This window comes from Homo sapiens, chromosome 10, assembly GCF_000001405.40.
Source record: "Homo sapiens chromosome 10, GRCh38.p14 Primary Assembly".
Lineage (NCBI taxonomy): Eukaryota > Metazoa > Chordata > Mammalia > Primates > Hominidae > Homo > Homo sapiens.
This window is the reverse complement of record NC_000010.11, coordinates 94,029,930-94,049,755: the sequence shown is the minus strand read 5'-3', so window position 1 is coordinate 94,049,755 and position 19,826 is coordinate 94,029,930. Positions and strand designations below refer to the sequence as shown.

At 39.3% G+C, this 19,826-nt stretch overlaps 1 protein-coding gene and 1 pseudogene across 25 annotated transcripts in view; one reads left to right on the top strand and one right to left on the bottom strand.

Moving 5' to 3' along the window:
* PLCE1 (phospholipase C epsilon 1) overlaps positions 1-19,826 on the bottom strand; it is a 338,893-nt gene that overhangs the window by 283,068 nt on the left and 35,999 nt on the right. For all 25 annotated transcript variants that reach the window (XM_047425285.1, XM_047425289.1, XM_047425297.1 and 22 more), the window contains one exon: positions 17,504-19,073. In XM_047425285.1, the coding sequence (XP_047281241.1) occupies positions 17,504-18,709 (1,206 nt within the window). In that variant the 5' untranslated portion in view covers positions 18,710-19,073. The remainder of the gene's footprint in view (positions 1-17,503; positions 19,074-19,826) is intronic.
* RNY4P26 (RNY4 pseudogene 26) lies at positions 2,631-2,718 on the top strand (annotated as a pseudogene).

Here is a 19,826-nt window from a genome sequence, read left to right as displayed (position 1 = left end):
GGCTTCTGGGGTGCTAATATTCCATTTGTTGGTTTGGGTGCTGGCTAAATCTGTGTTTACTTTGTGAAATACATTGACCTGTACACCTTATATGATTTGCATATTTTTCTGTAGATGTGTTATACTTCAACAATAATTATGAGAGAGAGAGAGAGACAGACAGACAGACAGACAGACAGGGTAACTAAAGGGCCAGGAATAGTAAAGACACTTCTTAAAAAATGTTGTTAGGACTTCCTAATGTTACTGGCACAGTGATGGATGAATTAACCAATGAACTAAATTAAAGGGCTCAGAGAAGGCCCACACATGTATGGAATTTTGGTATATGATAGAGGTGACATGTCAGATTAGAGCTGGAAAATGAATATTGACACAGAAAATGACAATGGATTCCTGCCTACGTCACACCATATACAAAATCAAAGATTTAAATGGGTTAGGGAATTCGATGTCAAAAATAAAACTTTAAAGCTTCTAGCAGAAAATATAAGTGAATATCTTAGACTTTAGGTAGAGAGAAAACATTTAATAAACAAAAAGCAGTGTTCATAAAACTTTAATAAGTTTGACTATAAAATTTAAGAATTTTGCTTATTCAAAATCTTACAAAAAAGAAAAGACAATTAAAATATAGGAGAAAGTATTAACACTATACACAAACAAAAAAAGATAATATTAAGAATATATCTGGCCAGGCACACTGGCTCATGCCTATAATCCCAGTATTCTGGAAGGCTGAGGCAGGAGCATAGCTTGAGCTCAGGAGTTCAAGACCAGCCTAGGCAACACAGTGAGATGCCATCCCTACTAAAAATAAAAAAAAATAGCCAGGCATGCATGCCTGTAGTCCCAGCTACTCGGGAGGCTGAAGTAGGGAGGATCTTTTGAACACAGAAGTTTGATACTGTAGCGAGCCAAGATCCTGCCACTGCACTCTAGCATGGGTGACAGAGTAAGACTCTGTCTCTCTCCCTCTCTCTCCCTCTCTCTCTCTCTATATATATGTGTGTATATACATATATGTGCATATATACATATATATTTAATATATATTTATATTATTTATAAATATATTAAATATATATGTATATATGCACATATATATATTTAATAAATCCTACAAATCAATAAAGAAGCACAAGCAACCCAACAGAAAATGGGCATTTTACACACACAAAAACTACACGGCCAATTAAAACACAAAAATATGGTAAACATCATCAGTGATCAGGAAAATGCAAAATTAAACAAAGAAATATTTTTTAATCCATTTGATTGGCAAAATAACAAGTTGAAACATATAAAGTATTAGAGAGAGTGTAGATCCAAAGAATATTTTGTACATCATAGTGGCAAGGGTTGGGGGGTGTGTAAACTGATGCAACCACTTTAGAAAACAGTTTACTACTATCTCCTAAATTTGAACATTCACATACCCTGTGTTTCAACAGTTTGCTTTCTAGGGATATATCCAAGAGAAAATTTTGGACACATATAACAAAGAACATATACAAAAATATTCATGGATGGATTGTTTAAAATACCAAAAACATAGAAACACTCTAAATGTCCATCAACTGGAGAATGCACCAGTAAAGTATGATATATTCACATACAGGAATATAATACAGCAATTAAAACAAATGAACTACAGCAACCTACAAAAGTATAAATGAATCTTAGGAATAAAATACAGTGTAAAATAAGTCCCAAAAGATTGTACACAGTGTACCTTTATATAAACTTCAAAACAACTAAAATTTAAAATCTGAAGTTTTTTTTGACATGAATTCACATAGTAATCACCATTTTGAAGTGTACAATTCAGTGGCATTTATTAAAATATACAGTTCTTAAGAATACATGTAGATGCAATAACACTGTATAAAAGGAAAGTAAGGGAATGACAGAAACAGAATTAAGGAAGATGGTACCTGGGAAGGGAGGGACATGTAGAGGTTTGGGGTGGTCAAGAGCAGGGAACCATATGGCTAGGCATAGGGTTTGTCAAGGTTCTAGTTTTACTATTGGCTGTTAAGTTCATCGGTGCTTATTTCACTACTGAAAATGACTAACTATATAAACAAAAAAACAAATAAAAATAAATACATTGGTCCCCTTTGCCTCACATCAACAGATGCTGGCAACAATTTCTGCAAAGTGTAGAAGGCAATTTTCAAAATAGATGCTTTGAAAACACAACAGGAAAATTTCAATTCTATTGAGAGCAATTATATCCCTTTAAATTTTATGTGAAGTCATAAAAGGCGGGAGGAAAAGAACTGGCTAAAACAAAATGGCAAAAGGGCCTCAGAAATCAATATTATTTTTGGAATAAATCCCATGGACTCCTGTGAAAGAAAACGGTGGTCAATTTTCTTATGGCGGAACACTTTGCCTTCTCACTGGTAGGGAGACAAGCAATTCTGGCCCCTGGCAGGAACTAATATCCCACTTCTCCCATGAAGCCTTCTAAGACTACCCAAATTACCCTGCCACTCATATAGCACTTAAGAGACAGTATACCACGTTTTATAGCTATTCTGTCAGGGTCCCTAGAGAAAAATCTTTATTTACCTGGAGGTAATATAGCATTGTGGTTAAAAATCAAGACAAGAATCAAAGAAGGTTGGTCCAATGGTAGTGGGTTATCAGAACTTATTAACAGTGTCACTAAAGTTGGTATACAAAACCCACTGCTAAATTTGGCTTTTTATTTTTTAAAAGGTTTTTTATTTTAAAAAGGTTATTTATAAAAAAATAACAAAATTTTAAAAAAGAATAAAAGGAAACAACAACAGCTACATAGTGCCAGCTACTGTTCTAAATGCTGAAACATTTGTAACGTGTTTGTTAACATATGTTAACATTCAACGTATAAAAGTCTACTAATCTTTACAACAACTCTAAGAGGTAGGTACAATTATTTAGAAATAAATAGCAGCACAGAGAGGGTAAGTAACTTGCATTAAGCCTCAGAGCTATAAATAGTAAGTGCCAGGTCAGAATTTGAAACTAGGCATGCCCCTAACCTCATACCTTTAATCATTATGGAGCCTTAAGCCCTCCATTACTTAGCTGTTATAATTTGATCAGTTCAGCTCCACACCCAATGGGTCAGAAATAGTGTTTGGCATCCAGGCACAGGGCAGGAAAGTTGATCTGAGAGCAACCTGGGCTCCAGGCCTGGCTCTGAAACTGATGCCTGACCAGACCTGTGAAAGGTCATTGTCTCTTTGAGCCTCAGTTTCCTATTCTGAAAATGAAGGGTTGGACCTGATGGTCTCTAAGGCCCTTGCAGTGCTGATGTTTTATGAGCCTGGGGTTCCTGGCTCAATTCCTTGCAGCCCAGACCATACTGGCTCTTCCTGGGCCAGGTCTGGCCCCTCCTGCTGGGCTCAGTGTCTTGCATTTGGCTCTGCTTCTCACAAATAAAAGAAAAAGAACAACGGGAAATATCCTCCTGAGAGACTGGGAGGGACCCCATGGCTGCTCTGTATGCTTTGAAGCACTCACACTCATTAACCAGAGAGAACTACCTGCCAAGTGAAGGATGGAAAGAAACTAGACTAAGGGGAGAAATGAACTCACAAAACCTGGCTACATCCAAATTAAAAGGGCATCTCTGAGCACTTAAAGAATTGACAATGTTATTGCAACAAGATGTGCCAGTTTCTTAAAGAAATGAAGACAGGATCAGCCAAGAAAACCATAATGGATCAGAGAAGGCAGGACAAACCTGAGAAACTATGCACCAACTAAGGTTATTATTACTTTTTTTTTTTTTACCACGCCTGGCTAATTTTTTGTATTTTTATTAGACACGGAGTTTCACCATGTTAGCCAGGATGGTCTCGATCTCCTGACCTTGTGATCCACCCGCCTCGGCCTCCCAAAGTGCTGGGAGTACAGGCGTGAGCCACCGCGCCTGGCCCAACCAAGGTTATTTACAGCCTGGGAAGAGGATGAAATAAGTGAGAGACAGACATGTCTGCCTCCACTATCCCACCATGAACTCTTCCAGGGCTGGTGCTCTGTTTCAGGAATGTATGCATCCCAGGAACTGTAAAGGCATTAGGGTTCAGAATCTGCCAACATCAACAGAGAACCTACTAGGTGACACAGCTATTTGTATCAGAAATGTATTTTTTATAATATTTTAGAGATGAGGAGAGAGAGTCTATAGAGACCTTGATTCCAGTTCTGGATCTTCCATCATTAGCTATGTAAACCTGTTCAAGTAACTTCACCTGTCTAGGGCCTTGGCCAGTTTATCCATAAAGCAAGGGACTGAACGTGATTATAGAAGATGGGCCAGGCCAGACACCATGGCTCATGCCTATAATCCCAACACTTTGAGAGGTCAAGGCGGAAAGATCACTTGAGGCCAGGAGCTTGAGACAAACCTGGGCAACAACGTGAGACCCTACCTCTACAAAAAATATATATATATATTTTTGATTAGCCAGGTGTGGTGGCACGAGCCCATATTCCCAGCTTCTCAGGGGGCTGAGGCAAGAGGATTACTTGACGCCAACCTGGGCAACAAAACAAGACCCAGTCTCTACAAAAAAAATTTTTTTAATTATCCGGGCATGGTGGTATGCATCTATAATCCCAGCTTCTCAGGAGGCTGAAGCAGGAGGACTGCTTGAGCCCAGGAGTTCCAGACTGCAGTGAGCTATTATTGAACCACTATACTTCAGCCTAGGTGACAGAGCAAGACCCTGTCTCTAAAGAAAAAATAATAATAAAAAATTTTTAAAAAAGATGAGCTAGCTCAAGAATCTATAGTTCGTAAAGTTACCAAATAATTATTTTATATTCATGTAGAAAAGCATTCACCTGAATTAATTTAATGTCTTCATATTTTAGGCCATTGGAACTCAACAGACTCCACTGTTCTGAGCATATAATGTATGAATCCAAGAAAAAAAAATCGAAGTTTTGGGCTTCAGAAGCTCTTCTGCTTCTGTTCCATGTGCTTCTAGCTAGCATGACCATGTGGGGCTGGGCAGGTTGTGCCCTGTAGAAGGGCATCTAGCCGAGGAAGGTGGAAGAGACAGGGCTAAATTCCAATCTGCCCTTTGGCATGAGCTTTGTGCCCATGAGGCTCAGTCCAAACCAAAGCTGCATTCTGAGTTTGTGAGTGCCTCTGAACTGTCCATCAACACTGAAGAGAGCCATGGCCAGGACTGTGAAGCAACGGCCAAGTCTGTGTTCAAGTTTGTGTTTTGTATACAAAACATATAGTTTTACCTTTGCTTAAAATATTTCCAGACATCTCCTTTCACCTCCATTCAGTTTTTAAGATCTCTAATAAAACCAATCCTGTCCTTTATAATCACATGTCAATATGGACCCAAACCACCATTAGCCAGGATGCTTGAATGGATTGTTTCTAAAAATCTCAATCCAAGGGTTGAGACATTGTGCATAATGGCAGCATAAATGGAAAGTGGGGACAACCTTTCAAGGTGATTCCTTGGAAAGGGACATTATTTAGCTGAGCAAGACCTGGAGTTTAAATCTATTTCATTACTTTCACATTTCCAAAACATGGTAGCTACTAAATGTACTCGGCAAAAATACAGAAAAATAAAAACTCTGAGAAAAACAGTCACTGGATTCTCAGGGCATCTAATGTGTTTTCTTTGCATGTAGATGGTGATTCTTTGCCACCACTAGCAAGTCATTCATTTTGAGGCTCCTGACTTTTCTAGCAACCAATTAGATTTGCACTGGTTCATTCACATTCTTTTTCCTTTATGCTGTGATCAATAGCTACCAAGACCATTCATTCTGGATTTCCTGGGTCAGTCTCAATTTCAAATATTCTGCCCCTCTTTCCTCTGAATAAAAAGTTCCCAATTTTTTGTTTGGAAAATATGGTCACCATAATAATGGCATTCTCCTCACAAAAATATTAGTCAGGCCAGAGTCATACCATCATTACACTGCCCATATTTGGTTTGTGGCCATCAAAAGGAGAACTGGCTGGTTCAACCAGGGTCTGAAGCCATTTTCTTGGTCTCATTAAAGAGACAAATAATGCATTTGCTATTAAACAATTTAGAACTCAAATAAACTTTCCCCTTGTCCTGGAAGAGAGTTTCTCAAGGCTAAGGAGTTACTATCTGATGGAAGGGTACAAAAATCTGGAAAAAATGAAGCTATGGGGCTTTCCAACTGCCAAACTCCCACAGGCTGGCTCCCAATGCACATCACACTCACTATTAAAGTGTCACCATTTATAATTTGGTGCTAAATCTTTCTGAAGCTAAGCTACTCAGCATGGTCTACCAACAAATTGATTCTCTATTCCTTATTCTATTAAAACATAGGGATAAAATGAAGTAGGTGTTGGTGATAAAAGTTATCTAATCTCAAGTTGAAAATGAAGTTATTATTCATTCATGCCAGCACCCTGAAAGGCAAACCAAAGCGTCGGGTTTCCATAGCGGGTTCGACTGCGCTTGCAGCATTTATGAAAGGAAAACAGGGTGCCTCTGGTTTTGTTTTGTTGCCTCCTCTGTAGTTTTGTGTCTGTTTTTCCTCCAGGTGCCTCACTCTGAATCCTTTAGAGCATGGAGTAAGAGGAGAAAAGTTATACTTGCAGGGAGGTTTAAATAGTGTTTGCCAAGCACTTTAATATACAACACGCTTAGATCTTTTTCCTACCGCCTCACAACCTTGTGAAGTAGGTGAAAACTTCATTCTAATGGTGTGATTATGGAAAGAAATGCTACTGAGTCATGTCTTTCATACTTAGGTCGGTTGGTCAGAACCCTGAGAGATCACAGAAAACTAAATTAAAATGGAAAAATACTAACATACGTTGCCAGTATTTTTGGGTATCTCAGCATGATTGTGAATAAGCTATAGATTCTGACTCAAGATGTGTGCAGTTTGCTTTGGACTTTGCTCTTGCTTACTTACTTATAAAACTTCTTAACTGTACTTCTAAATTATAGCAATTCTGTAAAACATTCAAACCTTGGGGCTTGGTTTCCTCCTCCTAGCAGGCTGAGTCATAAAAAATAAATCTTAGCCATTTCAATAGACAACACACCCCTCGCATTAAGAATTGGTATTGTTCCCTGCATCTCCCATTTCATCCAAAAGTCACACCCAGTTCACATTTGAAGAAAAAAAAGAGCTCAGGGACTCATCCAGCTCAACATTTGCACATTTAATAAGAGAACAGAATTTCTGCCAAGTTATAGGGGTAAGTTGCATCAGAATCTTCCAGAGGAACTTAGGAGCAGTTATGAGTATGGACTTTAGAGGTAGCCAGACCTGGGTTCAAGTGCTAACATGGTGTGACATTGGTCACACAGGACCCAATGAAATGGGGGTGTTTAACCTCATAGACAGTCGCCATGAGAATGAAAGGAAAGAAAAGATAAAAGACAAGACATCTGGGAAGCCCAGTGTAAGACACAGAAAGCATCCAGCCAGTACTTACCATCTTACTTCTACAGACATTTCCAGGCTTAGCCAAATCCTCTGCCCTTCTACTACACAGCGTCAGGGAGTGAGTCACAAGATTCATTCCAAATCAAACCTCAAGGAGGCATTGCTGAGGGAGGTAGAATACTCAACCTGAAACTCAGGGTCAGGATTTAAATCAGGAAGCCACAGACTGGCACAATTTTAGACTTAAGAGGAAGTGTTAATTTATAATTTGTTAAATTACTATATGCAAATTATAGACACAGTGCCTGACATACAGCAGGCAATGAATACATGTCTGCCCTCCCTCTTTTTTTAATACTGAAAAATACCTAAAATTCTCGGCCCTAAAGTGACTTGCTCAAGTCACACAAGCAGCCAATGGCAGAGCTGGAATTAGTACTTGGCTCTTTTTAGAAGAGAGGGGTGCTGTTTCAGGTCTCTTACCAAAAGTATTGGTGTCAAATGGTTTGAAGGAACTAGACAAACACCTTCCAAACCCCAGGAATGAAATGATCTCCCCAACTTACAACGACAGCATGCTGTCCCTATCCCTCCACCACCATGTCCATCCCCGAACCCCCACTGACAGAAGCTAGATTCCCTCCAGTCCATGTGGAAAATTCTGTCTAGGAAGCACTGGGGGTTCTGAAGAGCAGAGACAGAGCTCTGGGGTCTTGAGATCGGGAGGCGTGTTTCCTTCTTGGCCCACTGAAGCACACAGCTGTCTCAGGTGTTCCCTTGTAAGCAAAAAGGATCCAGAAACTTTCTCAAGGGTTCTAACAGCCAGTTGAAATGGGGAGCCAGGGACAAGGAGATGCAAACATGACCTTTCAGGCCAAGTCTGGGGAGATGACAAGCATGGATTGCTGGGTTTGCAGGACTGAAAAAGATCCTTTCAAATTTCAATGGAAAATCCTGATTCCGTCCTACAGGTATTGCACAAAAGAACTGGTTCCAAGCTCTGAGGGTCAGGCGGAGGACAGCTAACAAGCCTGCAGTAGTTCTGGGGAAGGAAAGAAGGAGACAGCAGAAGTGGGTGGAAACCGCCCTTCTTCATTTATAATTCAAAGAGTCATTCGAGAAATACATATTGAGCACTGACTGTCAGAAACTCTGGCCTAGGGTCCAGGGTGGGAGTTGGGGGCTGGCAGAGAAGACCACCAAGAGAAAGTGAAACTAAGCTCAGGCCTGAAAGCTGAATGGGAGTTAGCCAGGTAGCGAGGGATGTTCTAAGCCAAGGATAGGCAAAGGTTTCATGTAAAGGACAAGATAACAAATATTTTAGTTTCTGCAGGTCATACAGTGTCTGTTGTGGCTATTTAACTCTGCCATTAGAGGGTAAAAGCACCAACAGACAATACATAAAAGAATGAGTATGGCTGTGCTCCCTAACCCTTATTAATGAGCAATACAATTTCAATTCTATATAATTTTCATGTCATGAAATAGTATCCTTCTTTTGATTTTTTTCAACCATTTAAAAATGCAGAAGCCACTCTTAGCTTTTATTTTACAAATATCTGTATTGATGTACCTGAGGGTTCAGTCAAGGTCATTCCTGAACTAGGAAGATGGTATTCATTTCTAAACCACAGACTCTCTTAGGCCCTTGTACCAAGGCTAGGACTAGAGTGGGACAAGGGAGCTGCCCAGCACTCACAATTTAAGGAGGCACTCACTAAGAAGTATATGGGTGGCACTTCTGAGACCCTGAGAGAAGGTGCACAAGGGTGAGACACTCACTTGTCTCACCCTAGTGATGGCCCTGCTTGTACCTGTGCATAACGGAGTGCATTATTGTGATGTGGCGACCTCTTCCTCAACCATCACTGTGTTGGATGATGTCCTTGTGCCCAAGGTTGTGGACTGACAATCTCATTCCCAGCCACTGCTCTGGGGTGCAGAGTTTGGATAATAAAAAAAACAATTTAGATAACAACATTTAGGCAGAAAGGGAGGAGGGAAAAAAAAGAAAAGCTATGCAGACTGGAGTTTGGGAGAATCTGGAGAAGTTGGAAAATTTTTAAAATCACATTTGGAGCCAGGCACAGTGGCGCATGCCTGTAATCCCAGTACTTTCGGAGGCTGAGGCAGGAGGATCAGTTGAGGCCAGAAGTTGGAGACTAGCCTGGGCAACATAGCAAGATCTTGCTGCTACAAAAAAAATTTTTAATCATATTTGAAAGTTGTTGCTGGTAGAATAATGTGAGAAATATTGAGAAGGAGATGAATGTCCAAGGGACATGTTTAACAAGCTCCACTGTAAATAAAATTGTAAACCTCCTTTGCCACTTGCCTGATCTTCATTCATATATCTATACCTATACATATATCTAAATCTATTTTGCAAACCACATATCTGATAATGAACTTATATCCAGAATATATATCAAAAATAAAAAAGACAGCTCAATTTAAAAATGGGCAAATAATTTGACTAGACATTTCTATGATATACAAATGGCTAAGAGCACATGAAAAGATGTTCAGCATCATTTGCCATCAGGAAGATGCAAATCAAAACAATGAAATATCAGTTTACACCCACTAGGATGGCTATAACCAAAAGACAGACAATAAGAAACACTGTTCAAGATGTGGAGAAATCAGGCTGGGTGTGGTGGCTCACGCCTGTAATCCCACCATTTTCGGAGGCCAAGGTGGGCGGATCACCTGAGGTCAGGAGTTTGAGACCAGCCTGGCCAACATGGTGACACCCTGTCTCTACTAAAAATATAAAAATTAGCTGGGCATAGTGGCACGCACCTGTAATCCCAAATACTCATGCCTCAGGTTGAGGCATGAGAATTGCTTGAACCCAGGAGGCAGAGGTTGCAGTGAGTCTAGATTGTGCCACTGCACTCCAGCCTGGGCAACAGAGCAAGACTCCGTCTCCGGGAAAAAAAAAAAAAGATATGGAGAAACTAGAACCCTTTTGCATTGCTGGTGGGAATGTAAAATGTGCAGCTGCTTTGGAAAACAGTCTGGCCATTCCTGAAAAGATTAAACAGAGTTATCATGTGACCCAGCAATTCCAATCCTGGGTATTTATCCAAAAGAAATGGAAACTATGTCCACACAAAAACTTCTGCATGAATGCTCACAGCAGTATTATTCATAATAATCCAAAAGTGGAAACAACTCAATGTCCAACAATTGATGAACAGATAAATAAAATGGGGCATAATCATACAATGAAATATTATTCAGCAGTGAAAAGTATGAATATTGATTCATGCTACCGTATAAATGAATATTTAACCTTGAAAAGATTATGCGAAGTGAAAGAAGCCAGTCACAAGACCAAACAGTATGAAAGTCCATTCATATGAAAGTCCAGAATAGGGAAATCTATAGAGACAGAAAGTGGATTAGTGGTTCCTTAGGGCTGGGGGAGAGGCACAGGATGGGGCGATAGAGGGTGATAGCTAAAAGAAACAGGGTTGCTTTTTGAGATGATGAAAATGTTCTAAAATTGACTGTAGTGATGCCTGCACATATCTGTGAACATATTTAAAACCACTGAATTGTATACCTTAACTGGGTGAATTGTATGGTATGTGAATTATACATCAATAAAGCTGTTAAAAAAAATAAGAAGACACCAAAGCATTTCTCCTCCCCTTCAAGGAAATCTGCTATTGTGTTTCAAAGGACTGGCTTTCCCTATCCTTGAACAATGATAGCATGACTTTGTATTGCTGAAGGCTGAGGAGGTTTTCTGCTGAGCTTTCTCAGGGTTTGAGGAGTGATGGCCTAAATAAGAAGGAAGGGTTTGGGGTTCCTTGTAAGGGACTGAGCCTTGGGGTTAGGGGTTCAGGGTTCTGGTGCCTGAGCTCTAGAAGACCTATATTTAATGTGAAGCTCTGAATGTGTTTAAGCAAGCCACTAGAATAAAGAACCACTGAAAGGGGCACCATTTGGTTGTCATGGTGCCAGAAAATAAGCCCAGCACCGCTGTCTAAGAACAGCTTTTGAGAGAGGGCGCTGTCTGAGCCACCAGTTAGTCTAGTCGTGGGGGTCAGTGGGTGCACCTCCCCCCACTGATGCTTCAAATCCTTGAATGCTGAATCATTTGATCAACAGGGTGGAAACCTCCTCTCTAACCCCAGGACTCCCTTAAGCTCAGAAGGGGCCACTTCTATGACTCGTGACTTTTCAGAGGTCATTCAAAGGGCAGCTTGAGTCTCTGGTCTGCAAAATACAGGTTGTGGAGCAGATCAGGGTTTCACCAGATGGTTTTATCCTTGCCCACTGGATCTAATTCTTTTCAGGCCACATACTACCACGGCCCATTTTCAGGGATGGGGCCTCTCCAGCTGCTAATTCCCATTATGTAGGACATCTAGGGAAAAGAAAAATAATAATAATCCTAATGCTGATACTGTCCAAAGAATACTATGAGAATAACAGTGGCCACCAGTGCATTTACCTTACACTGGAATCCAGAGTCAAGGTTTTTCATTCCCGCTCTTACCAAATCTTAGCCAAAGGGCTGGTATAACTACAGAGATGCGGGGGGACATTTATCCTATAGTGCACCAATGCAGCTAATAAGGGAAAGCAGTCCAATCATCACAAAGCTGGACTCTGACAGCCATCACATTTTCCACTGAGGCACTAGACATGACTAAACTGCACAGGAGCTGAGAGGAAGCTGGATTCCCTTTCACTGTGCCCAGCAGGAAGGGGCCAGCATCATCCTATACCCATGTCATCAACCCATCACTACCCTTCGTAATGAAAGAGGCAGCCTGGCAAATCACCAAGCACAGGCTTCCAGCTAAGCCTAAGCACCCCACGAAATTTTAATTGTCTCAAGGTCCAAACTGTACCCTAGCTCCAGGGCAACCAAATTTCCAGACCAGAAAACAAGACATGTTGCTATCTCAACAGCAATCCCTTACAACATTGAACAGTGGGGCTCAATGGATATTTTATCATCCATAAAAATTACAACTCAGAAGATGAATTTATTAGCGGTTGGTCCCTTTGCACACAACAGACATTATCTCTCCCCTAAGGTTCAGGTCTCTTCAATTTGAAAGAGACAAAATATAGAATCAAGGACATGTATACCAACAAAGGCATTTTTGTGAAACACTAAAAAAAAATTGCCTGTTAGGTTTAATTTTCTGTTCTTGAGAGTAAAGTATGAAGAAGAAAGGCAACTTTTAAAAGGAAGAAAGCAGAATAAGAAGCAGCAATACAGAAGCTGCTTTTGACCTTCCTTTTTAAATTATAGCTTTTCTAGACTGATGTAAAATTTTTTTATTCAATCTTTACATTTTTATTCTTTGTTTTTTACTCTTTAGTGTATCTGAGTTTTTTTTCTATTTTGTCATACATATTCTTGTACAGTAAATCTTGTGGAACAAAGAAGGGAAATAAGTAAAGTGATAATACAGGAGCCAGTGGAATTTCTGCCCTGGCACCTTCACATTCTCTGAGTGCACGTGGATCTCAGGTTACATGAGCAATTCCAGCAAGGCAGAAGCAGAAACTTCTTGTACTTCACATTCAAGATAACTATATGTATCTAAACTCCTCAAAATTCAGGCAGGTTGAGAATTTTTTTTTAAAGGAAAAACACCCCTAACCAATCTTTAGCTTGGAGACTTTAGCCACCCATCAAAATATCCTGTCTTATTTCAGAGCAGGAGAGAGGGAGTATGACTGTAACTGGATAAGGGATAGGGTTTTAATTTCTTATGAGGAGGAGAAGGAGGATACCAGTAGTTAGTATGTCAGCAAGCATTAATCTTCATTAATGTTTTCCATTCAAAGCCAATCTTCTCTACACAGCTGTGCAAATATAAATTAAATGGGTCATTCTGACCAAGGTATCCAAGAAAAAAAAATGTTTAATGTGAGGGCCAAGGAATTAATTGTACAAACAGCACATTCTTTAAATGTGTGGGAAGGATTGTTCAAACTACCTCATTATAGATTGAGAAACATGAATTCAAATTCATACCACTGTAAACATCCCTGAGTGAGAAGACACACAGCAGAAGGTGGTGGAAATGTGTTCTCGACAAAGCATATCCACAGTGGCCAGAGTGAGCAGAGCAGCACTCACTCCTTGCTAGAACTGTGTGGTGGGTAGCATCTCATTTAACGCCACAATAACACCATTATTCTCAGTTTATAAAAAAGGTAATTAGAAACAAAGAGGTCAAACTGTGTACCAGAATTCACATGGCCAGTCAGTGATGGAGTGAGGGTCACAATTTAAATTCAGGTCGACTGACTCCAGAGACTGTATTTGTAACCATTACATTGCCCTTATTCTCTGTATACTTGGCATTATGCTTGCATTATGGAGAGTAAAATAATGCAGAACTTATTTCTTGTCCTTAATCGATTTACAATCTGATTGAGGAACCAGAACGGACACATATGTAATTACCAAAACACAGGAAAAGGAGCATATCATTAAGATCCGCATCTTTGAAGGAAGTAATTCATAGGAGCTGGGAAAAACTAGTTATAATTCACCTGTGCAACTTTTGAGAATTTCTACCAGATTCTAAACTAAAAAACAAGATATACAGAACACCATACCTTAGAAAATACTGATTCATTGCTGATATGGTGTGGTTTGAATATTCAGAAAGGGCCCCCCCTTTAGAAATCTCCCTTAAGAAAGGACAGGACAACCAGCCTATTCCCCAGCCGCATCTTAATGGTTAATAAAAATGCCAATAGCCTCCTCCAAGCCTGCTCAGACCAAGGGGATAAAAGTTCCTGGAGTCTACTCTGACAGGTGTGGCAACCTCTCCCAGCCTCCAGAGACTAAGAAGCAGGGAAGAGACAATTTGCATCATCCCTTTTGTCCTTTTCAATTAGAAATTAACCATCCCAGGCCTTTGATGAACAAGGGCAGGTTTGAGCTGGGGACCAGTGAACAAGCTCAGAAGAAACAGCAGCAGGGCTATAGAAAAGAAGAAACTGGAGGAGGGTATAGGCATACCAAAAATTATTCTGAAATTTACACCCGATTCACAACCCTCATAGGGAAACAATGATAAAGGTTCTAAAGCAACCTATTTCCATTCACTTTGCTATATTTAAATTTCGATTGTGCTCTTAATGTTCGAGTGTACATGATTTTTTAAACCACTGCATTTTTAACTAAGATGACACGTTGCTCTCAGCAGCAGTTTCATGGCAGGGAGATGCTGTGCAAGTCATCTAGTGCTGAGCAGGACAGGCATGCTGGTGAGGGGCTCCTTGTCTGTGACTCAGGTTTCATGTGGAATCAGGTCAAGAGACACAGAAACACATCCTTAGACACTGGCTGGGGTGAGTGGTCAACTGTATAGAGAAGGACCTGCAGGCTTTCACTTTTCAGGCAGGTTCCCAGGTCAGCCCAAATGTTCCTAAGAACCCAAGCAGTGTCTTTTTTAGGGAAAGGCAAATATTCCTGAAATGTCCTGATCAAAAAGCAAAGAGCTCTGTTTAAACTCCTAGCCAATGGTTCCCAACTCCATAGAATCTATAGAATCACCAAGGGAACTTTGAAAAAAATATTCATGCTGTGCCCTACCCCAGTGATTCTGATTCAAAGGGCCTGAGGAGGGGTCTGGACAGTGACTGTGACGTGTAAGCAGGTTTACAATCACCATACCTAACATGGCCAAGTCTGAGATACCGTGAGCATCAATGAATGGGGTCACTCAATCAACAGATGCTGAAACGAACAGAATTCTTCCGTTCTTTTAAAAGCTTCCTCTGAATTTTATTCCTTTCTGGATCTTAAGAAACCACCTAGGAGTGTCAGCTGCCTGGATTAAATCTTAGTTATTTCACTTACTAGCTAAGTAACCTTGATGAGGTACATAATTTCTCAGGAAATCAGTTTGCTTAGCAATAAAAGTGTTAATTATCATATCAAAATCCTAAGGTAGTTAAGATGATTGTACAACATGGAATATGTAAATTATTTAGCCCAATATCTGGCATTTGTTGAATGCTCAATAAATGTTAGCTACCCTGATTGATGACTCAAATGGTTGGGCTGTGTCCCTACCCAAATCTCACCTCAAATTGTAATAATCTCCATGTGTCAAGGGCAGGGCCAGGTGGAGATAATTGAATCATGGGGGCGGTTTCCCCTATAGTTTTCTCATGGTAGTGAATAAGTCTCATAAGATATGATGGTTTTATACATGGGTGTTCCCCTGCACATGATTTCTTGCCTGCCACCATATAAGACATGTCTTTGCTCCTCTTCTGCCTTCTGCCATGATTGTTTGGCCTGCCCAACCATGTGGAACTGTGAGTCCACTGAACCTCTTTTTCTCTGTAAACTACCCAGTCTTGACTATGTCTTTATTAGCAGCATGAGAACAGACTAATACAATGATGATGATGATGATGATGATGAAAGTAAAAATATAGCACTTATATTTCAATAAAAATGATGTTTCTCTAGACCAGGTGCTTATTTCTAGGGTCAGGTTTTAAAGGACTTATGAAAAATTGGAATGTGAGAGTTCTAGAAACAGTTTCACATAGAGAATGACTGAAGGAAGCAAGAGTTTTCAGGATAAAAAAATCCAAGATGGCACATGGCACTGTCCTCAGATGTACAGATAAGGTCTGAGAGCAGGCAGCCTGATCATGTGTATTTCCAGAGCAGGATTCTTAAAGAGGGGAGACTGTGGATAGAATTCAGAGGACCTGGAAATCTGGTTGAGGAAAAAAAAGTGATTCATTATTTTCATTAATCTCAAAAAGGAAATTTAGCATTTCCTTTAATTCTGAATATAAGCAACAAACTTCAGTAGTAGTAATAGTAACTGTGATCTTGTCACCAATAGAAGTCACAGATATTTCCATATCCTATTACAGTTGTGATAGATATCCTAAAATGTTATTGATATTTAGGGTGATCGACTGCTCTGGTTTGGTCTGAAGGGTTTTCCAGGACATGGAATTTACAGTGCTAAAATTGAGAAAATTTCAAGAAATCCATACTATATATACATAAGTATATATACATAATCCAATATATGCATAAGTATACAATCTATACTTATGAATATAAGGACTTATATTCATCACTACAATTATCCCTCAATAGCTCAGAGGAACTGGTTCCAGAACTGCCCCCTACCCCCTCGAACACCAAAGTTCAAGAATGCTCAAGTCCCTTATGTAAGATGGCCTAGTATTTGCATATAACATACATGCATCTTCCCGTATACTTTAAATCTTCTCTAGATTACTTAGAATACCTTATACTATGTAAATAGTGTTACAGTGTATTAGATTGTAAAATCTGTGTTATTTTTTATTGTTATATTGTTATTTTTTGTTTCTTACAAAAATATTTTCTATATGCAGTTGGTTGAATCTGTGGATACAGATGAGGGCTAATTCTATTTTGAAATTATGATAGTTATCACATAACTAGATATTATTATTAAATGTATTAATAAAGAAGCACCTAAATTGTCAGGTTAATTTAAAAAAATCATGATAAATGTATATCCGCATAACTTGTCCTTTATGATGATTTCTATTTCATCTGATTCATTTAAAAACATCATTCTGAATCCATAGGTTTCATCACTTTGCCAAAGGAATCCAGGGCATAAAAAAGTTTAAGAGGGAAGGAAGTGGGGCCATTAGTTGGAAAATGAAAAAAAACAGAATTAAGTTCTGTTAGGTCTGGAGACCTAAAAACAATAATGAACTACACCATAGAACAGGACCCAGGCATTTATCTCAAAAGAACACAAACAGATAAGCAACAAATGGAGCCATTTTTCCACTACCAGGAAATCTCCCTAATTCCTCCACTCCCAATAACATTATTTTCTGACACACTTTTATGTTGTTGCAGTATCAACTCAATCTTGATAGCTATCAATTGGAGTATCTGTTTTCAATAACCACAAATGCTTAACCTAAGAATCATAATTTGACAGATCTTAAAATTTCTCATCAATTATGACAATGGAAATTTGGACTTTTTTTTGAAAAAAAAAGCAAGTTTAAAGAAATGGTAAAAAGAAACTCAAATGCTTACAGGATACCACTGGGCTTCTGACAGACGTTGGCTCCCATCTTGCCTTATCTCCACTGTTGACGGGGGTTCCATTACTCTCCCACAAGGCAGTAAGGGACCATTTCTCTTCTGATCTATGTAACTCCATGCAGTCAGCCCAATGTGGCCAGAAGGCAGAGTTCTCACAATTGCTCTTGTTCCAGTATACACAGATTTCTTAACTTCTCTGTCATTTTTACAGAATCTCCTGACTAACAAAGTGGATCGCTCCTTTTTGCTTTTAAAAGCGTCTTCTTCTACATCATCACAATTATCAGGGAAGTCCTCAAAATGGCTCAAAAAGGTCTTGGCAGCTTGACTGTCAGTAAAGTCTTTCCTACAAAAGCTATCACCTGAATATACCATGTCAACCTTCTCACAAGAGCCTTCAAAGCAAAAGTATTTATCATTCAAGGTGTCACAATGATCACACTGCAGCTGCTCATTCTTATTATCACAATTTTTGGCCAATTCCATCAGTTTACAGGTATATGCCACATAGTTTTTCTTTTGCTTCTCCTCACCCCCAGGTAGTGGTACACAATTTCCACAATCGTCTAAAATTAAGTTTTCTGATAGGGTACAGAAAGTGTCTGACATTCTTCTGTCAACTTCATAATGAAAATGAAATACTGCCCTTCTGCTGTCAGGGTGTGCTCTGCCTGTCTCTATGATCACTGACTGATTTCCTAAAGGACTAATGCCCATGGAAGGTCTGTCTAGTTCCAGTTGAATTCCAGGGAACACCTTTCTTTCCAGTGGAGAAGGAATTCCAGTTTCTAAACACAAGTCTTCCTCAGCAACAGAGTTGTACATTTCATAAAATTGTCTCTGAGGAAGGCCATGCTGATGGTTTCTCAATATGTTGTTGCAGTTAATGTTAAGGTTTTTCGCAGAATCTGGCATGATTTTCTCCCAACATTTTTCATTACTGTTCTCATCACTCACTATTTTCTCCCTCGCTATTGAGAGAATCTTTGGCAAGTTGCTTCCAGAAGGTTCTTCTTTAAGTTTGTTCAGTTGTGAGATGGTATGAGAAGTCTCCCCACTTCGTCTGACAGTATGTGCTTTTGAAATATTGATGTCTGAGACCTTTTCACTACTTTCATCTGCAGCCGACTGGGCAGAAACCACTTTTCTCTGAGTCACAGGTATGAGAACAGAAGCTGTCATTTCTTCAGAAGTCATCTTGGACTAACACACAGGTTTTGACTATTGCTCTATTTTTCCTCCCTGGTGATCATGTCAAGGTTTTAATAAAATGACTGATTATTACAACAATCTCAGATACACAAGTCCTCCCAAAGAACAAAGGGATAATTCCTTTCATTCAGGAGCATTAAGAGGCAAATAAATTTTCTTAGTTATAACTTCCTATCATGAATATATATTTTTTCTAGATCAGGGTTTTAAGGTGGTAGATCAATTTTCCTTCCTCTGTTACCTGAAGCAAAATTTTTTGAAGACTTTTACTCGGGATTGCACTCTGCAACTTCTGATCCATCACTGATTTGCAATGATTTTAAAATCCAGTTTGAATGATTCCTGTTTCCTGTAAGAAAAGAGATAATGTCAAACACTGTGGCACTCAGTGAGTTTTTAAAAAAATGATCTCACAATCCTAAGATACAGACAATTTTGAGAAAAAAGGTTTTTTTTTGCAATCAGAAGTTGGTTTTTATGTTTTTAGTATTTTTTTTTTATTTAATGTTTCAGAACTTCTGCTTCCAGCCAAAATGGAGTAACAAGGGCAAGATTTATTCATCCACCTTAAATAACTAAAAAGAAAATCAGAAAAAAACCCAGTGGTTTTCAGATATTGAACAACGAGCAACACAGACATTGATGTCTGAAAGAAGAAAAAAAAAAGAAGTGAGCCCTATAAATGCCCTAGCTTACTGCTTAGAAAGTTTCCAGGCAACAAGGCAAGGAAGGGAAACTCAGATAAAATCCAACAATTTACCTGAGTAGAAGAGAAATAGTTAAGACTTCAGGGAGGCCAAGGAAGCTAGAGAAATAAGGCACATTAAGCAAAGAGGCACAAAGATAAGAATGACAGCAGACTTTTAATCAGAAACAATGCAATCCAGAAGAGAGTGGACAAATCTTTAAAGTACTGAAAGAAAAACTACTGTCAACTTCAAATTCTATACCCAGCAAAAATGTCTTCTGCAAATAAAAATTAAGTAAAAACTTTTCCAGGCATATAAAGCTGAAATAACTTATCACTAACAAGCCTGCACTGCTTGTAACTCTGTTAGTAGAGAGAGGGAATCAAAAAAATTTCTATCCAATGTGGAAACAC